Here is a 16,676-nt window from a genome sequence, read left to right on the forward strand (position 1 = left end):
TTTCAGTGACGCTAACAACAACCTGATTTAGAGGAGTTTCTTGGAGAGCCAGGAAGTTAGCCAGTGACCAGTTTTGACATCTTCATCTTCTAGGACAACTCTCAGGACAAGAATCTCCTTTTCCTTTACAAAATGTTTATGAGCTCTCGGACTCTCCCTCTCCTGCAGGACAATCCACCCCCAGCCCAGGCTACAGACACAGCTTTCCTACCGGTGCAGCTCCAGTCACTCAGCAGGCAGGGAGAAGCATTCCTGTTGGTGTCTACAGCTCTCACAGAACCCCCAAAGACACTGCACAGAGGGAAGGTAATCTCTCAGCAGCTGGGCCTTGGAACACAGCTGCGAGGGCAGTGATCTCTTTATCTAGGAGGCCTGCAGGCTGGTAGCCCCAACACACCGGTCTAAGACTATATCACACTGGGACATGACAGGTGATGCAAGAAGGTCCCAACAAGCTCTGTAAGAACTGCTATAGGCACGAGAGGCACCAGGTTGCCCATGTGCCACCCACTCATCAGAGGTCACATCCTAACCTCAGCTCACACTTCAGGACTTCCCCCTTCCTGATCTGACTGAGTCATATCTACCAACCTACAGGGTCTGTTGTAGAAATTAATCAGACAGGCTCATCAATCACATGGTAAGCCTTCCGCCTTCTCCCTTCTACCCCCACATCGCGCTGCAAGCTCCACCACACATTCGAGAATGCCATCATCTGCCAAAACAAAACTGGAGGGACTCTAAGCTGCCAGGCGGGTCTGTCACATGACAAGTATACCCGAGCTCTGTGGCACCTCTCAGGTCAAACAGCCAAAGCTATCTACCTGACTCCTACTGCAGGGGAGGGTTCTGGAGGGCAGGATAAATTCTAGTAAGACTACTCCCACCACCAGCCACAGCACAATGGCGGGGGAGCCGCTGCATGTGTAACAACAGCCATCTGTCTATTCACAGATCAAAATAGCACCAGATTCTTGCCTCTTAAGGCAGAGAAAGAGATTTCTGCAAAGAAGGGCTTCACCGCCAGGCGCAGTGGCTCACGCCTATAATCCCTGCACTTGGGCAGGCTGACGCAGGTGAAATGCTTGAGCCCAAGAGTTCAAGACCAGCTGGGCAACATGGAGAAATCCCCATCTCTATAAAAAATTTAAAAAATAGCCAGGTATGGTGGCATACACCTGTGGTCCCAGCTACACAGGAGGCTGAGTAGGGAGCCAGGAAGGTCAAGGCTGCAGTGAGCTATGATAGCAACACTTCACTACAGCTTAAGTGACAGAGAAAGATCCTGTCTCACAAAAAAAATAAAAAAAAAGAAGAAGAAGAAAGAAGGAAGAAGACGAAGAAAGGCTTCATGAAGTCCTAATTCAAAGCTAAGTCCAGGCATTTGGCTTTAAATTACTTAGAACTGGCCACGGAATTAATCTAAGAAGTTTGGAGGAACAGCTGCTCAACGGGTCTTGAGCTCCTTCTTTATTTTTTGGCATGCCATGGGGGTGGGGGAACAGGAGAAGAAAGGGGCACCTCATTTGCAAACACTTGCCCCACTTCCTTCTAAGCACTCTGGATATGACAATCAGGCCTCCTGACTTAGGGCAAAGACCTGGGTGGAGGGGTGTTAAAGAGGAAATGACACAGCCAACCAGAGTCACCCGGCTTTAAAGCAAACACCTTGGGATGCCAAGGTGAACTCTTCTCGGCTTTTCGTTACAGATCTAAGCGAGAGTCAAAAGACTCTGGAAGAGTTAACCCAACTTCCAAAAATGAGTAATCATCTTCCTCGTTAGAAATGGCCCAGGCTCCAGAAACAAAGATTCATTCTATTGTTTGTCCGCAGCACACCCCAAAATGCTTGAAAGACTGCCAAGTACACCAGCTGCGGCTATAGCTGTCACTGTCCCCCTAGTGGAGCCATCTGAACCAGGCTTGGTTGTACTTCCCTTGCTCTCAGGAAGCTCATTCACTAAGTCAGCAGCAAAACTCTAAAGCCAGGCCTCTGAGCACTCCTCCATGCACCTCCCAAACCAAATGTGGACTGGCCTTCACCTCGCTGTGGAAAGGGGTTCTTCCCCAGTGTCATCTGGATGGAGTTCAAAAATGTGCAGGAGAAGGAAAAGTTACACATCAAAAAACCAACACGGCCGGGCACAGTGGCTCACGCCTGTAATCCCAGCACTTTGGGAGGCCAAGGCAGGCAGATCACCTGAGGTAAGGAGTTCGAGACCAGCCTGGCCAATATGGTGAAACCCTGTCTCTACTAAAAATACAAAAATTAGCAGGGTGTGGTGGCGGGCGCCTGTAATCCCAGCTACTTGGGAGGCTGAGGCAGGAGAATTGCTTGAACCTGGGAGGTGGAGGTTGCAGTGAGCCGAGATCGCGCCATTGCACTCCAGCCTGGGTGACAAAAGAGAGACTTCATCTAAAAAAAAAAAAAAAAACAAACAAACCACCAACACTGGCCACCTCGATCAGGAGCAGACCCAAGGGAGGTGGCATAGATATGTTCTCAGACTTAAAAATAATAATAATACCAGCCTAGGCAATATAGTGAGACCTCGTCTTGACAAAAAATAAATTAGCCAGGCATGGTGGCATGTGCCTGCAGCCCCAGATACTCAGGAGGCGGAAGCAAGAGAATCACTTAGGCAAGCCAAGGCTGCAGTCAGCCATGATCACACCACTGCCTCCAGCCTGGGCAATAAAGTGAGGTCCTAGCTTCGAAAATAATTTTTTTTTAAGTCATAAAATGTAAAAACAAAAAAAGAAACCCTATCCGACTGAATAACTGGATGGGATCAGAATTGATGAAATTTAACAAGTACTGGTCAGAGGTTGACATTGAAGCACCAAAACCCAGTTTCCAGTGTGCTGGATGAACAGTTAACAGCATGCCACCAGTCCTGACAAAAGCCTGCGTGGCAGGCAACTGTACTCATTCATTCAACAAACCCTTACTGAGTGACTACTTTGTGACTGCTGGGATGATGGTAGGGGCTGAAGACATGAACATACATAAGCCACAGTCCCCTCCCATGGAAGTGAAAACTATTAACAACTGATGGATGAGTGAAATAAAAACTAAATTAAAATGCACTAAAAGGCAGAGGGTATTATTAAAATATCTTGATAAAAATAGCATGATAAAATAACTGGGACCGCTAAAGTTCAGAAATCTGGGCCGGGTGCGGTGGCTCACACCTGTCATCCCAGCACTTTGGGAGGCCAAGACGGGCGGATGGCTTGAGCTCAGGAGTTCAAAACCAGCCTGGGAAACATGGCAAAATCCCATCTCTACCAAAAATACAAAAAAATTAGCTGGGCATGGTGGTGCATGCCTGTGGACCCAGCTACTCGGGAGGTTGGGGTGGGAAGATCGCTTGAGTCCGAGAAGCGGAGGTTGCAGTGAGTCTGGATCATGCCGCTGCAGTCCAGCCTGGGGGACAGAGTAAGAATCCATCTCAAAAAATAAAGTTCAGAAATCTGCATCACAACCTTCATGGGATGGGTGCAAAGTCACCCTGCAGTCTCTCCCTCCCACATCCTGGCAGGTCCCCTGCCTGGACAGACTCTTACTCGCTTCAATTATTAATAAATCAACAAACTACTGACTAGAACTGTGATGTTCACGAGGCCCAAGTCTAGCAAGTGCCGGAGGTGGCATCCACATCCACAAGGCCCCAGCAAACAAGGCTGGCAGAGCCGCACTGCAGGCTTCAGTTCTAGCTGACCTTGTCCTGCAGGGTATGGCCTGAAGGTCACAGTCTGTAAGGGAGTCTCCCCAAGCGACGCCAACCACACCCCTGGGCGAACCTTGCTTCCAGAGACCACACTGGGCCAGGTCTCCTTTTGCAGAGCTTACTTATGGGAGACAGTAAAGGAGTAAGACAGCTTCCTCAAGACTCAGCAGAATCCAACTTAAAGTCACTTGCCTTTCACAAGGGGGAACAAGTCAACCTCTAGAGAGATGAGCGTAAAACATAACCTGCCTGTGTCCTCGTGCGGTTCTATCCTCCTTACTCACTCTCCCTGTGAACACGTGTGTGAGTGCCAAATCAGCCTGCCCTGCAGACTGTCCTACTCATGAGCAAAATAGTACATATCGTATCGTTAGGCACAGCCAAGATGGGAAGTGGCCTAACCGCCTAACAGGAAGGACAGGATAAATACACACTGCAACACCATGCAAAGGACGAAACGCAGCTTTCTAAGAGGCTACGAGAATATGTGGAAGCTTAAAAAATTTTGATCTCATAGAAGTAAAAAGCAGAACAGAGGAGACTAGAGGCTGGGAAGGGTAGGGGGAAGGCGGGGAACAGGAAGAGATTTGTTAAAGGATACAAAATTACAGCCAGATAGAAGGAGTACGTTCTAGTGTTCTATAGCACTGTAGGATGACTAGAGTTAACAATATTATGTAGTTTCAAATAGTTAGAAGAAAGATATTGAACACTCCTGACACAAAGAAATGATAAACGTTTGAGATGTTGGAAATGCTAATCACCCTGAGCCGATCATCATACATTATATGTGTTGCAACATCACTATGTACCCCATAAATAAGTACAATTATGTGTCAATTTAAATTTTAATTTTAAAAATTAAAAAAAAGAAGGCTTTGGGAGCCCAACACATCCAAAGAGGAAACCATCTTCAGGTATAGTGCTAAGTAGAAAAGCAAAGATCAGAACAGTGGGTATATTAAGCTCCCATTTGGGTGAAACTAAATAAATAATTGTGCCAATAATACAGAAGTCCTGGAAGGATACAAAGGAAACTTAACATAAAACCTGTCTTCAGGGAGCGGAAATGGGTAGCCGGGAACAGAGATGAGAGAAGACTCTTCAAGAAATGGCTTTTTGTATGTTTTCAATTTTGAACCAAACGAGATATTGACTTTCACAAGAAATAGGTAATACTTTCTAAAATCAAAAATATAAAAAATACTGTATTTTTATACACACATTTGTGTGTGTATATATCTGCATATTCTTGCACATGCATATGGAATATCTCTGGGAGGACAAACAAGAAAATGACAACAGGAGCTCCCCCCAGGAAGGAGGGAGACGTGTAGCTGGGGACAGGGATGAGGAAACTGCTTTTCACTGCTGAGTTTGTACACATGCATGTACTGCCTATTCTTAAAACATTCTGGAGTTCTCCAAATACCACATGCAGTTTCCTGCCTCCAGACCTCTGCTCATGCTGGTCTCTCAGGCTAGAACTTGCCACCCACTTCCCCTGCTCCCTGCTGCCCTCTCAGCCTCCAGACTCTCTAACCTCATCTTTTAGACTCAGCTCAGGTGTCACCACCTCCAGGAAGACCTCCACACTCCACACTGAGTCAGGTCACGCCCTCTGCCTCTGTGCAGAATGCAGAGCTTGAATCACAGGGCCATGAAATGAACCAGCAAGCTGCCACCCCTACAGACTGTGTGCTTCTGGAGGGCATGAGCCCAGCCTCAGTCCCCTGAGTCCCCAGAACCTGGCACAAAGAGCTGCTCAGGAAATGTCTGCTGAAACAAAGAACACAATCACCACGTTAAGTCAAGTCTCAACATTCTTGGTGCCAGAGATACTGAAATCTGTCTTGCTTGCAGGGGGTTTCCGATAGCTATCAAAATGTTGTTAACACTAATTCAAAGCACAGCACCTCCTGATTCACGGAGGGGCTGGGCTCAAAAGTTTTCTGGGTTCCACAGTAGCAGAGCATAACAGAAAAACACAGTGACCAGCACAAAAACCCCTGTATCTGATCATACTCACACCTCCTCAGGAACCTGAAAACACTCATCAGAGTTTCTGTGGGCGGGAGGGTGGCCAGCAGCCCTCTCACACCCAATCATGGGAAAACTGAGAGCCCAGGGCCCTGCCCTAACAGCTTTGTTTTCTGTGTTCTGCTTTTAGGAGGAAGAGTCTTGCTGCAGTCAGGGCCTGATGTGAGGCGGGCAGCACTTGCAGGGCCGGCCCTGGGCCAGGCAGAGCCTGGACAGCCCAGGCCTCTGCAGGAACCCCAGTGGGACAGGGAGGGCCAAGGTCCTGGGAGCCTCCACAGAGAGCAAAATGGGTCAATGGGAAGATTATATACACATGTGACGCTGCGCTCCTTAGAACAGACTTTTACTCAGAAACAAAAAGTATTTCTAGGTGACTGTAGTTGAACCGGCAAATCTCATGTACTCCCTGTGTTGTGCTTCTCTCTGGGCATTATTTCCTCCCGGTATCAGTCTCGTCCCAAGTCCAACACGCACTAGGCTGGCTGTGCTAGGGACTGAGGGAAGAAGGCAGGTGATACATAACTAAGTTCACGCAAACAGCAAGTGTTCAATTAGGTTTCCCACAAGGCATAGTGTGTCATACGATAATAAATCCACAAGGGCAGAGAAGTGAGCCTGGAATTCCAAGTAGGGAGGTAAAGATCTGGGGAGATTTCCTAGAGGAAGCGGCATGAGTGTTGGGCAGGAGTTCAATGCCAGAGATGGGGTGAGGGTATTCTATTAGGATGCTGCTAAATGACATGTCTGACACTCCAGCAAGCTAGGGGGACGGGGCTGGGAGTGGAGGGCCCCTTCCCAGCTTTTGGTGGAAGGAGCCTCAGGATGCCCAGACAGGTCAGCTGCCACAACATCGGCCAGTGCCAGCGCCAGCGCCCTCACAAGGCCCAGGCAGGGGGAGCTCTGCGCACCGGACAGCCACAAGCCGCCACCCTGCTCTCTGCCTCCCATCACTCTGCTTCTCTCCACCTCTCAGAGGTCTGCCCTCCCAGAGCTGTCCTGCCTGAATAGCAGGCAAACAAGCTGAGCTATGGGGGCGGGGTAGGGGGGCACAGGCTGGTGGTTTACTCAGCTGAACAAAGCCAGGTGACCCAGGGGATTCTAAGAGGTCGTCCCAAACCTCCCTCTTTTGTAAATGGCAGCATAAAGGTAGGAAGCTGCAAAACGGTTATTTCCATCCCCCAATATACCAACAGCCCCAGCCGTGACCCAAGCAGCTCGCCCAGAATGCCCACAGACAATACAGTAATTGTGTTCTCCCTTGGGGAATGGGAGTGGCCACACACAGCCCCATACGAGAATGTCACGATCATCTCAGACTCCCGAGTTACAAATATGTGATCAAGGCATGTGCTGGGCACGCGCTTCCCACGTGTTTTCGTGGATATGAAAGCACAAGGGCCAATGTGCCCAGCTGCTGGGGGCTGGGAGCTGCAGAAGGCAGAGTACTGGGACAAGGAGAAAACCACACAGAAACGCTCCATTCAAAGCCATGACTGAGTTAGTGTCCCCTTGTTTCTGAGGAGCGAGAGTAGAAGGGGGAACACTCCTTGACAAAACAAAACTGTGAGGAAAACTTCAAGGCCAGGCAAAGCCAAAGCCTGCCCGTCACCTCCCAGTGACTACATCTGGAGCTAAAGACACAAGACCCAGCAGTGATTTCAGGTTCACTCTGGACAACTAAAACCCCCAAATGAGAGGAAACCACCACTAAGCACTTAGATGTGAGCATGGCTGACTGTATGGACTTCAACGCACCATTTCCTGGCTCTGCACCTGCTTCCCCAGATGGGTCCCAGGGTCTCTCACCTCCAGCAGCCCCGGCTGGGCTCAGGTGTCATCAGGGAAGGGAAAGAAAGGGTACAGCAGTTGATTCTGGACATGGTTAAGCACTCTATTTCCCACCACTGCACGGAGACACTGATTTCAGGGCACCTGAAACAAAGGGCGCCCAGCCTTGGACTGACGGCAGTGAGTGGGAAGCTTCATGAAGCATTCCCGAGTACAGGGTAACCTGCTGTGTCCATGACAGCTCTGTCAGCTCGACCCAAATGCGGCCTGTCTTTGGTGAGAACGGGTAAAATCAACCTATCTGGGAAACCAAAAGCTCAAAACTCAAAATCGCCAAGGCTGCCTCCGTTAGTATCTGGGTTCCAGGTGGAGGGTGGAAACCGAGATGGACAGTGGATGGTGTGTGTTAGTGATAGAATTACCTAAAGGTAGGAAATAAATGTGTCTCCAACTATCACGGTGAGAGTGTGAGGACAGCTTCCATGAAGATGGCTGAACGGAAAACAAAACATCTCCGGGAATCTAGTCTCAAGTTTCCCAGAAAATAAGATGCAGTGGGAAAATGAAAGGAAAGACGAGCCTCATATGCCAGGCAGCCAAGACCCACACAGGCCAACCCACATCCTTGCTGGGGGGAACACTGGGGTACCTGGCACCTGCTTCAGCAATGTGCACTGGTTCTCCAAGCGTGGACCCGGATCAGTAGAGAATTGCCTGAGAACTCATTAGGAAGGCAAAGTTTCAGTCCCCGACCCCAGACAAACTGCATGAGGGTGGGACCCAGCAGCTGTGTCTAGTAAGCCCTCCAGGTTGAGTCCGGTGGTTCCTAAAGTTTGAAAAACACATTTTTAGTGGATTTGGTACCTAGAACCCTAGTAACTGGGAGGACAATTTTGCACATGAGAAAATCAGGATCCATAAAAGTTGAGTTTCTTGCAAAAGCCATGAGGTCAGAATTGGATGGGTGGCCTACTACCCACCCCCAGCATGTCCTCTGGCCAGGCCCTGGAAATCTAAATCTAGGTCAAGATGATCCTTGGCCTTCAGGAGCTCCAACAGTCCCTAGAATGCACTGAAGGAGAACAGTGGCATCGTCAGAGCCTTGGCCTAGCAGAATCAGAGGCTGAACCAACCACCCAGGTGCACAATGCCCTGACCAGTAGGTGAGAAAGAGGCAGATGAGGATGCCATGTTTCTGCTGCAAAGGAAAGGCATGGGAAGGGCTTTCAGGCAATGGATTGACAAGCTACATTTCTCAAATTCAGCAAACCATTTGGAATGACACTAAGAATCCCAAAGGTTGACTATGCGGTGAAATACGTGTGAGAATCAGAAGGAAACAAAAAGTCACAGAACAGCTGCCATACGAAGAGATAAAAACAGGGTTGAGTGAAAAAGATAAATGATAGGAGGGATTGCTATTAGATATTTGAAGAAATACGAAGAGAACACCTCAATTCTTTGAAAAATACTAATTACCATCTGGCAAATCTTTGCTTTACTTCTACTTGCTGTATTGAGTCTCTGTCAAAAGAAAGAGCTGAGATACATGTTTCATCTACCCTAAGAAATTTCCGTCTAACACCAGAAGTTATCTACTTGGTACACAGCAGCTAGGCTGCCTGTCATGAGAATTTAAAAATTACATCTTTATTTGTAAAAATTCCCTTGCAATATCTATTAAAATCCAGAAGGCACTTTTTATTTATTTAGTTACTTATTTATATTTGGAGACAGGGTCTCACTCTGTCACCCAGGCTGGAGTGCAGTGGCACGATCTTGGCTCACTGCAACGTCCGCCTCCCAGGCTCAAGCGATCCTCCCGTCTCAGCCTCCCAGTTGCTGGGACCACAGGTGCATGCCATAACACCCGGCTAATTTTTGTATTTTTAGTAGAGATGGGTTTTCTCTACGTTGACTAGGCTGGTCTCAAACTCCTGGGCTCAAGCGATCTGCCTGCCTCAGCCTCAGGAAGGCACTTGTAGATAAGAAGATTACACTAGGTGAAGCACCTGAGTGATTGTGGGGGGGGGGGGGGTGCGGGGGTACAAAATGAATCCCCAGGTCACCCAGTATCACAGGGCCATTCACAGGGTAGAAGGGCCCCTGGCCTGAGACTAGCTTCCAAGATTTAAGGGACATATTTGTACTTTCAGAGTTTTTATTAGTGCCCGGAGTACTGGCTTATCTTTGCAAGTTTACTAGCAGGTGGAACACGAGGTAGCAGGATTATGATGGCAATGACCTTGAGCACTGCAAACATCCTGGGCATTTCTACTAGTCACTGCCATTCACCATCGTTCTCCCTGTGCCAATAACCTGGAGAGCCAGAAAATCTGAATCTGCCTTCCCAATGTCTTATCCACTCCAGGGATCTCAAACTCAAATGCCTTCCAGGGCCAAGCAGGAAACACAAATGAGAGAAGCATGCTGCATAGGAACCGAGATGATGTGCAGAGAACATGCCTGGCCCACCGTGGACGGCTCTGGCTACAGCTAACTGTGGTGGGCTGTTTGGGAAAGAAGATCCAGGCTACTATTAAAATTTACCTCCTGACTTGTTAAGAGAAACTGAAAGTCAGGACTTCTTTGCACAATCTCCTTTTTATGTTCCCAAGAAATTTAAAAACTTGTAAAGCATCATATGAGACAAACAAATCATGTCTGAGGACCACATCTGGCCCCCAGACCCAGACCACCAGAGTGCAAACTCCAGTCTAAATGATGCTGACGATTCAGACCCCTGAAAACACTCAAACGACTAAGTTTCATCTTGGTTTGAAGATCTCCATGGACTCGCTTGGCTTCGCGATCCAGTCACACATTCTCATCGGCACCACTCCCTGGCTCACTCGGTGAGTTAGCTGGAGGCCTGAAAATGCCTAGACAGCTCAGACTGTGTGAAATTCCATGCACAACAAAGCAGACCCATACAACTCCCAATCACAGACAGGAGAGGCCTGCCTTCCCACCCATGGACTTGGAGAGACAGTTGATCTGGTTCGTTCACTCAGCCTGGCCCCATGGGAGGCTGTGGCACCCATTCTATGGAGGAAACCGTGGCATTATCTGAAGTACAGCAGAGCCTGGGGTCTGCCCTGCCCCCACCAGGAGAGCTCCCTTCTGGCCTCGCCCACGAGGTGGGGTAGGGAAAGAGTTTCCATGCCAAATACTTCTAACACACGCAAGTAAACCCAGCAGATGGAAGAGACAATTCTGGATCCCTGACGCCTCCAGACTGCTGGCTTTGGTTGGGTCATCATGAAGAGAACAGCTGCTTCCTCAATCACGACTACCGCACAGAACAGAGGATTCTGTTTTGATGACTTCTATGCAAGATATAGAAACAAGAGGGGAGTTTCCTGCCTTTTATTTCAAAATAGCCCAGGACAAACGAAGACTTCTTGTACCATAACAACACATTCAAAGGGAAAGCTTGATGGAGTTGGTTTTCTTAAATGTCACCCCACAGTGAGCAACCTACTTCTCTGCCCACAGGCAGTGATAAAAATGTCATCAGGGAACCCATGCAGAGGAGCAAGAGATTTCTCTTTGAAACAGCAACATGTGCACAATTGGGGACAAAACTAGGTGGTGAGGAGAAACTGGCTTTGGAGCAGAGGGACCTGGATTTTCAAGCCAGGCTCTAGCCCATCACAAGCCACACTCTCTCAGGGACATGGCTGAAGCTCAGCTCCTGCCCAGCGGGGCTAGTCACCCCCAGCTGGCTGTGCAATGAGCAGACGATGAGAGAACATATGCAGAGTGCTTGGCACACAGTAGGTGCTCAGAAAACGCCAGCACTCTAAAAACAGATAATTTCCATTATAAAGGTATTTGTGCCCGGGTTCTTTTGGGCACATGCAATTAGTCTCCCTGAGGGCTGGGACAGCAGTGAGAAACTTAGGGCAGAGCCTAATCTCGAATGATCTCACCCCTCCACTGGCTGAAGAAGGAAGACACAGGACACCATTCCAGGAGTGGCTGGCTAGAGGCAAGCACAGTGTCAAAGGTGGCAGTGGGATGGGAGGGGGACACGTAATCAAGGCTGGCCTTTCAAGGCTATTCTTTTCCCTTTTAAAGCATGTGGGGAAAAAATTTTCCACGTACGACCTCTTAAACACAACTTCCTCCTTACCAGGCACTTCCTTCATGCAACTATTCTAGAGCTAAGTTCATCAGGCTTACTTATCTGGTTTTCTTCTTTTTTCACTCTTGCCCAAGGTCCTGAAAAGTCCTCCTGGTATGTCATTCTTGCATTTTATAAAGGTTTCCATCCTGATTACAGAGGGAGTGGGCATTGTTTAAGGTGTGAAGATTTGTGCAGACTGTAACCATGTAAACCAAACATGGAAAAGCCAGCCATTCCTAACAGGAGCAATGGACTGGACTCCTGACTGTACAATGCATTTCAGAGACTCCAATGTAGACAGCGTGGACTACAACCAGCCACACAGCTCTTCTCCACACTCAGAGTCTATCAGCATGCACAAATGTGGGGGAGATGGGTCCAGCACTGATGCATTTATGCCTGGGTCTGATGAACTGGAGATCTACGCCCTCCATATTTGCCTTCACCCCTCAGAATGACTCTGCCCCTAGTTAGCTTCCAAAGAGATTCCTATTCAGAGCATTTATGGACCAAGCAAGACAAGAGCTACAGTTCAGCCCAATTCCAAGCTACTCAACACACGGCATCAGTGTTGGCAGTGGACAGCATTTTAAGGAGTAAGTCACGTGATACTAGCTAGCTGAGGTACCTGGAACTCACCTTCCTTCCTCATGCCACACAGTAGCCATCATTTTGAATGAATGAAGTAGTTCTTTATCTGATGCCCATGGAAAACATGGTCATTTCATCAGACCATGTATTTCCCATTCCAGCATGGTAGGAACAATGGTATAACCCATCAGGCCCAAATGGCCCAGAACAGAACAGGTATGAATACATAAAAATGGGATTTCTGCAGGACCCAGCATGCAAACACACATGGGGCACTGGACATGGCAGAGTTGATGAGGCCAACGGCCCCAGTGAACCAGGAGCTGAGGTTACAGGCTGCAGAGGGGCATGGTGGGGGCCTGCCAATGGTCATAGGATTTAGGGACAGCCTCTTCACTCCAGGCCCAGGTTCCCTCTGCCACAGCAGACATTTCTCCATCACTTCAGAGTCAACAAACTAATTTTCAATTCTGTGTTTTGGGAGCAGGAAGGTCCAGTGTCTTTTCTTTCAGCAGAATACCTCCTCTGCACTTTTGGTTCTCCCAGATTTGGATTCTCCCCACACTGGGACACAGTCTCGTGTGCTCCTACCTGATGGAACACTCTGCAATGACAGCAACGTTCTGGGTCTGTGCTGTCCAACGTGAGAGGTGACCACCGCATGCAGCTATTAAGCATGTGACACGTGGCTAGTGCAACCAAAGAACTGAAGTCTTCGTTTCATTTAGATTTAATTTAAATTGCCACATGAGGCTACAGCTAACATACTGAACAGCCCAGGTCCGGAGTGCAGAGTATTCATGTGGAGAAGAGGTCAGCACATTTTTTTTTCTGTAAAGGGCCAGGCAATAAATATTTTAGGCTTTGTAGACCCTGTGGTCTATAAATTCTGCTGCTGTGGTGTGAAGGTAGCCACAGACATTACCTACACAAACGGATGTGGCTGTGTCCCAATAAAACTTTATTTACAAATGTAGGCAGTGGGCCAGATTTAGTCACCAGGCTATAGTTTGCCAATCCTAAAGTTGGGAGTTCAAACGCCAGAACTACTGCCCATGAGCTAAATGACCTTGGGCACTTTACCTCACAGAACCCTATATTCTTCATCTATAAAAAGGGAATAATAACAGCACTCACTTCTCAGGGTGGTTATATGAATTAACGGCGAAGCCTAACGCACAGTGGCATTCAAAAAGTACTTGTTGGGTGAATGAAAACGGGAAAGAACTGGGTGCTTGGACTCGCACTATCCTGTTTATTCCTCCTGCTCTGTTAAGTAGGCACTATTATTCCCAGTCCACAGATGAGAAAATCACAGCTCAGAGAAGTGAAGTGGCTGAACCGAAGTCAAAAGCCATCAAGTGGCAGCACTAGAACCCAGGGATCCTTTTCACTGGTTCTGTGCCCTACTCTTTCTTCTCTCAGGCTTTTCTAACTGACATCAGCCCTACCCAACATTCTGCCCAACTGTCTGGGCTCATCTGTACTGCCTTGTACTATAAGAGGCTCCATTTATAAAGGAAATTATTAAGACACACAAAATCAACCTTTTTTTTTTTTTTAAGGAATCTAAGACGTTGAGCTCTACTAGTTCCTGTTCCAGACACTGTTCTGGAGCCCATCCCACCACCTACTGGTGGGGTTCCACTTCACTGGAACACCTCTCACAAGGCGGCTCCCTTCTAGCGTGCGGGATTCCAGTGAGGTGTGGCATGCTAGACTGCCACATGAAGTTTTGGCTGTGGCCCTTCCCCGCATCACCTCCAAAACTGTAAAATGCTTCCCCGACCTTGGAGACGGGGACCAGAGAGATGCTCCCTGCAGTTCTTCCCAGAGGTGTGGGGGCCTTCACATGGGCTGACGCAGCTCAAACATGAACTGAACGATGGCTTGTTTCTTCCTGCATTTGGCATGAAGACCCAGCTCCCTCCCAAGTCTTCTCCCTATCTCCTCCTGCCTATCTCCTCCTCCATGTCTGCCAGGATCAGCCCTGAGCAGAGGAGAGGGCAACCTGGGATTGCTGTCTTCTCTTCCAGGGCCCTAAGACACCAGTGGCTGTGACCACCATGCTGGCTCCAGTAGCAATCAGGGGGTAGGACAAAAATTGAGCCAAAGCTAAATCAGAGATGAGCAGCCAGCCACACAGGGAACAAGTGCCTGGGCTCCAGCTCTCGCCTGTGCCTACACTCAGGGCTAAAAATTCAGCCCTGTCTCCAACAGCGCCCAAAGCCTGGCCAGGCCAATGGCTGCCTCCCATAAGGGATTCTACCCTGGTTCCCCCAGGTTCCACTATCCACCCAGAAACCGGGCAGGATCAGCCACGCTCAGTCGTCGTCTTACAAGTGCAGGGGAAGGGCTTGGCCAGGCAGGAAGCTGGCAGACCCAGGGAGCTCCTCAGGTGAGCAGACGGACACCACCCTGGCCACGCTCCTCCATGGCAGAGGAGCACGCCACCACGCCATGTCTCAGAACAATGACTTCCTGAAATCATGTGTAACATATAAGGACTCACCTGAACCTCACACATGCTTTTAAAAATTGTTTTTTGGCCAGGGGCAGTGGCTCACACCTGTAATCCCAGCACTTTGGGAGGCCCAGGCGGGGGCATCACCTGAGGTCCGGAGTTCAAGACCAGTCTGGCCAACATGGTGAAACCCCGTCTCTACTAAAAATACAAAAATTAGCTGGGCATAGTGGCACACGCCCATAGTCCCAGCTACTTGGGAGGCTGAGGTTGCACTGAGCAGAGATCACGCCACTGCTGCACTCCAGCCTGGGTGACAGAGTGAGACTCCATCACAAAAAAAAAAAAAAATCTTTTTTTCCCCAAAGCAAGTTAGAACTCATTTACCTGTGGACTATCACGTACTCTCCTGAGCCCAAGGTGTCTGATCTCCTCTCTGCTCCTACTTCTGGTCATAACGCTCTTTCACTCCAGTTTGCTGCTCAACTTTTGGCCTATGCGGACGCAGCCAGGCCAGATCCTCTTTTACTTTCTTTTCTAACAGGTGAAGGCATGTGCTAACCTCCCCGGGAATGAGATGAACAGAGAGGTTTACTGTTAAAATCAAAACCATCTGTGGCTAACTTACTCACTTTCTTCTTCCCTTAGGAGTAAATGCAGATGAGCAAAACCCTACCAGCCTTGGAAAACACACCCCCCAAAGCTAAGATGGGCTGCTAACTGCAGTTCCGCCTCCACCTCTGCACAGGTTCAGTATTTTTCTTAATTCTCCTCTTCTGGGCCCAGGTCACATGCCACACAGTCAACGGGGCCTGGAATCTGGGCTGGCATCTGAGGGCGGTGGAGGCCTCAGGCGCACTGGCCGCCAAGAGTCAGGTGACTCAGGCCCGCCATTCTCGAGTGTCTGTGTCAGCAGCTTCCCCCTGCCTTTGAGAACACTAGTGAGAACAGGCTATGACAGAGCCCAGGGGGCACCGAAGCTCCCTCTTCCATCGCACCAACACGGTTAGGTGCCTGTTTTTCCCTTTAAAGAAAAAAAAAAGGTAGTTTTACACTGAATCAGACTGTTTCAACTCACACAACGCCAGAACTTTGACTTCTTTAGTTCCAGCGCAGCACAGACAAGAAGTTCTGGAAGCTCTTGGGAATCCCAAGGGCGCCTGCTAAATGCGAGAGTTTTGTCTAAAAATAAACAAAGACCACATCACTCTGGCCAAGGCGGCACTTGATGAAAATTCTCAGAGGCTAGTCTCATGCTTCTCCAGGAAGGTCACTCCAAGGTCAAAAGGCTGGGCCCCTGGGCAGTGTCACCCCGAAGGTGGGCTTTCTCCCAGCCCTTCGCCCTTCCCTTTACTGCCATCCTGACCTAGATCAGCTCCGCTCCCCTCTGAAATCTACACTCGTCTCACTCAGGCTCCAGGTCTCCCAGATTCCCTGACACAGTCCCATGGTGCTGTGACTGGGGACACCTGCTCTCCTGGTCTCGAATGTCTCCTCCTCCCCGTTCTTCATCTGTCTAAACTCCTGCTCATTCTTCAAGACTCAGGTCAGCTGTCACCCCCTCCAGGAAGCCTTCCCTGCCCTCCTCTCTTCAGCTCAGTTAGAGAGACTTTCTATGACTTCCAGAGGACGGTGTAACTCACCAGTACCTTGTGTAAACACACTTTCATTCATTTATTACACTGTGTCTAGCACATAGTAGAACCTCAATAAAAACCTGCAGTCTGACTGTCCATAATACGAGCTATGAGCTCCCTAAAATCAGACATTCGGTAGATCCATCTCTGAATTCCTCAGGGCCTGACGACTTGTCTGACACACATAGTAGCTGTTACTCCACATTGATTGAACTGCACTGAGCCTGGGGGCCACCACCATGGCAGGTATGTTTTGTGCTCATCACAGGAACAGTGACACACCCAAGGAG

General features: G+C 48.9%; 1 protein-coding gene across 1 annotated transcript in view, besides 6 other annotated features; it reads right to left on the reverse strand.

Moving 5' to 3' along the window:
- The window catches only part of FAM53B (family with sequence similarity 53 member B), a 125,087-nt gene that overhangs the window by 98,453 nt on the left and 9,958 nt on the right, over positions 1-16,676 (reverse strand). The gene's annotated exons all lie outside the window — the stretch shown is intronic.
- Positions 5,915-6,004: an enhancer, noted in NCBI's record as "active region_4180". NCBI's record gives its function as "activates an Ori minimal core promoter by ATAC-STARR-seq in GM12878 lymphoblastoid cells {active_cell/tissue: GM12878}" and the evidence as "EXISTENCE:reporter gene assay evidence [ECO:0000049][PMID:35858748]".
- Positions 6,055-6,144: an enhancer, noted in NCBI's record as "active region_4181". NCBI's record gives its function as "activates an Ori minimal core promoter by ATAC-STARR-seq in GM12878 lymphoblastoid cells {active_cell/tissue: GM12878}" and the evidence as "EXISTENCE:reporter gene assay evidence [ECO:0000049][PMID:35858748]".
- Positions 6,414-7,380: an enhancer, noted in NCBI's record as "H3K4me1 hESC enhancer chr10:126412727-126413693 (GRCh37/hg19 assembly coordinates)". NCBI's record gives its function as "activates a minimal SCP1, AML or CMV promoter by ChIP-STARR-seq in naive H9 embryonic stem cells {active_cell/tissue: H9 hESC(naive)}" and the evidence as "EXISTENCE:reporter gene assay evidence [ECO:0000049][PMID:30033119]".
- Positions 10,760-10,899: an enhancer, noted in NCBI's record as "active region_4182". NCBI's record gives its function as "activates an Ori minimal core promoter by ATAC-STARR-seq in GM12878 lymphoblastoid cells {active_cell/tissue: GM12878}" and the evidence as "EXISTENCE:reporter gene assay evidence [ECO:0000049][PMID:35858748]".
- Positions 15,121-15,663: an enhancer, noted in NCBI's record as "H3K27ac-H3K4me1 hESC enhancer chr10:126421434-126421976 (GRCh37/hg19 assembly coordinates)". NCBI's record gives its function as "activates a minimal SCP1, AML or CMV promoter by ChIP-STARR-seq in naive H9 embryonic stem cells {active_cell/tissue: H9 hESC(naive)}" and the evidence as "EXISTENCE:reporter gene assay evidence [ECO:0000049][PMID:30033119]".
- Positions 15,729-15,808: an enhancer, noted in NCBI's record as "active region_4183". NCBI's record gives its function as "activates an Ori minimal core promoter by ATAC-STARR-seq in GM12878 lymphoblastoid cells {active_cell/tissue: GM12878}" and the evidence as "EXISTENCE:reporter gene assay evidence [ECO:0000049][PMID:35858748]".

This window comes from Homo sapiens, chromosome 10 (assembly GCF_000001405.40).
Source record: "Homo sapiens chromosome 10, GRCh38.p14 Primary Assembly".
In the NCBI taxonomy this organism is placed as follows: Eukaryota; Metazoa; Chordata; class Mammalia; order Primates; family Hominidae; genus Homo; species Homo sapiens.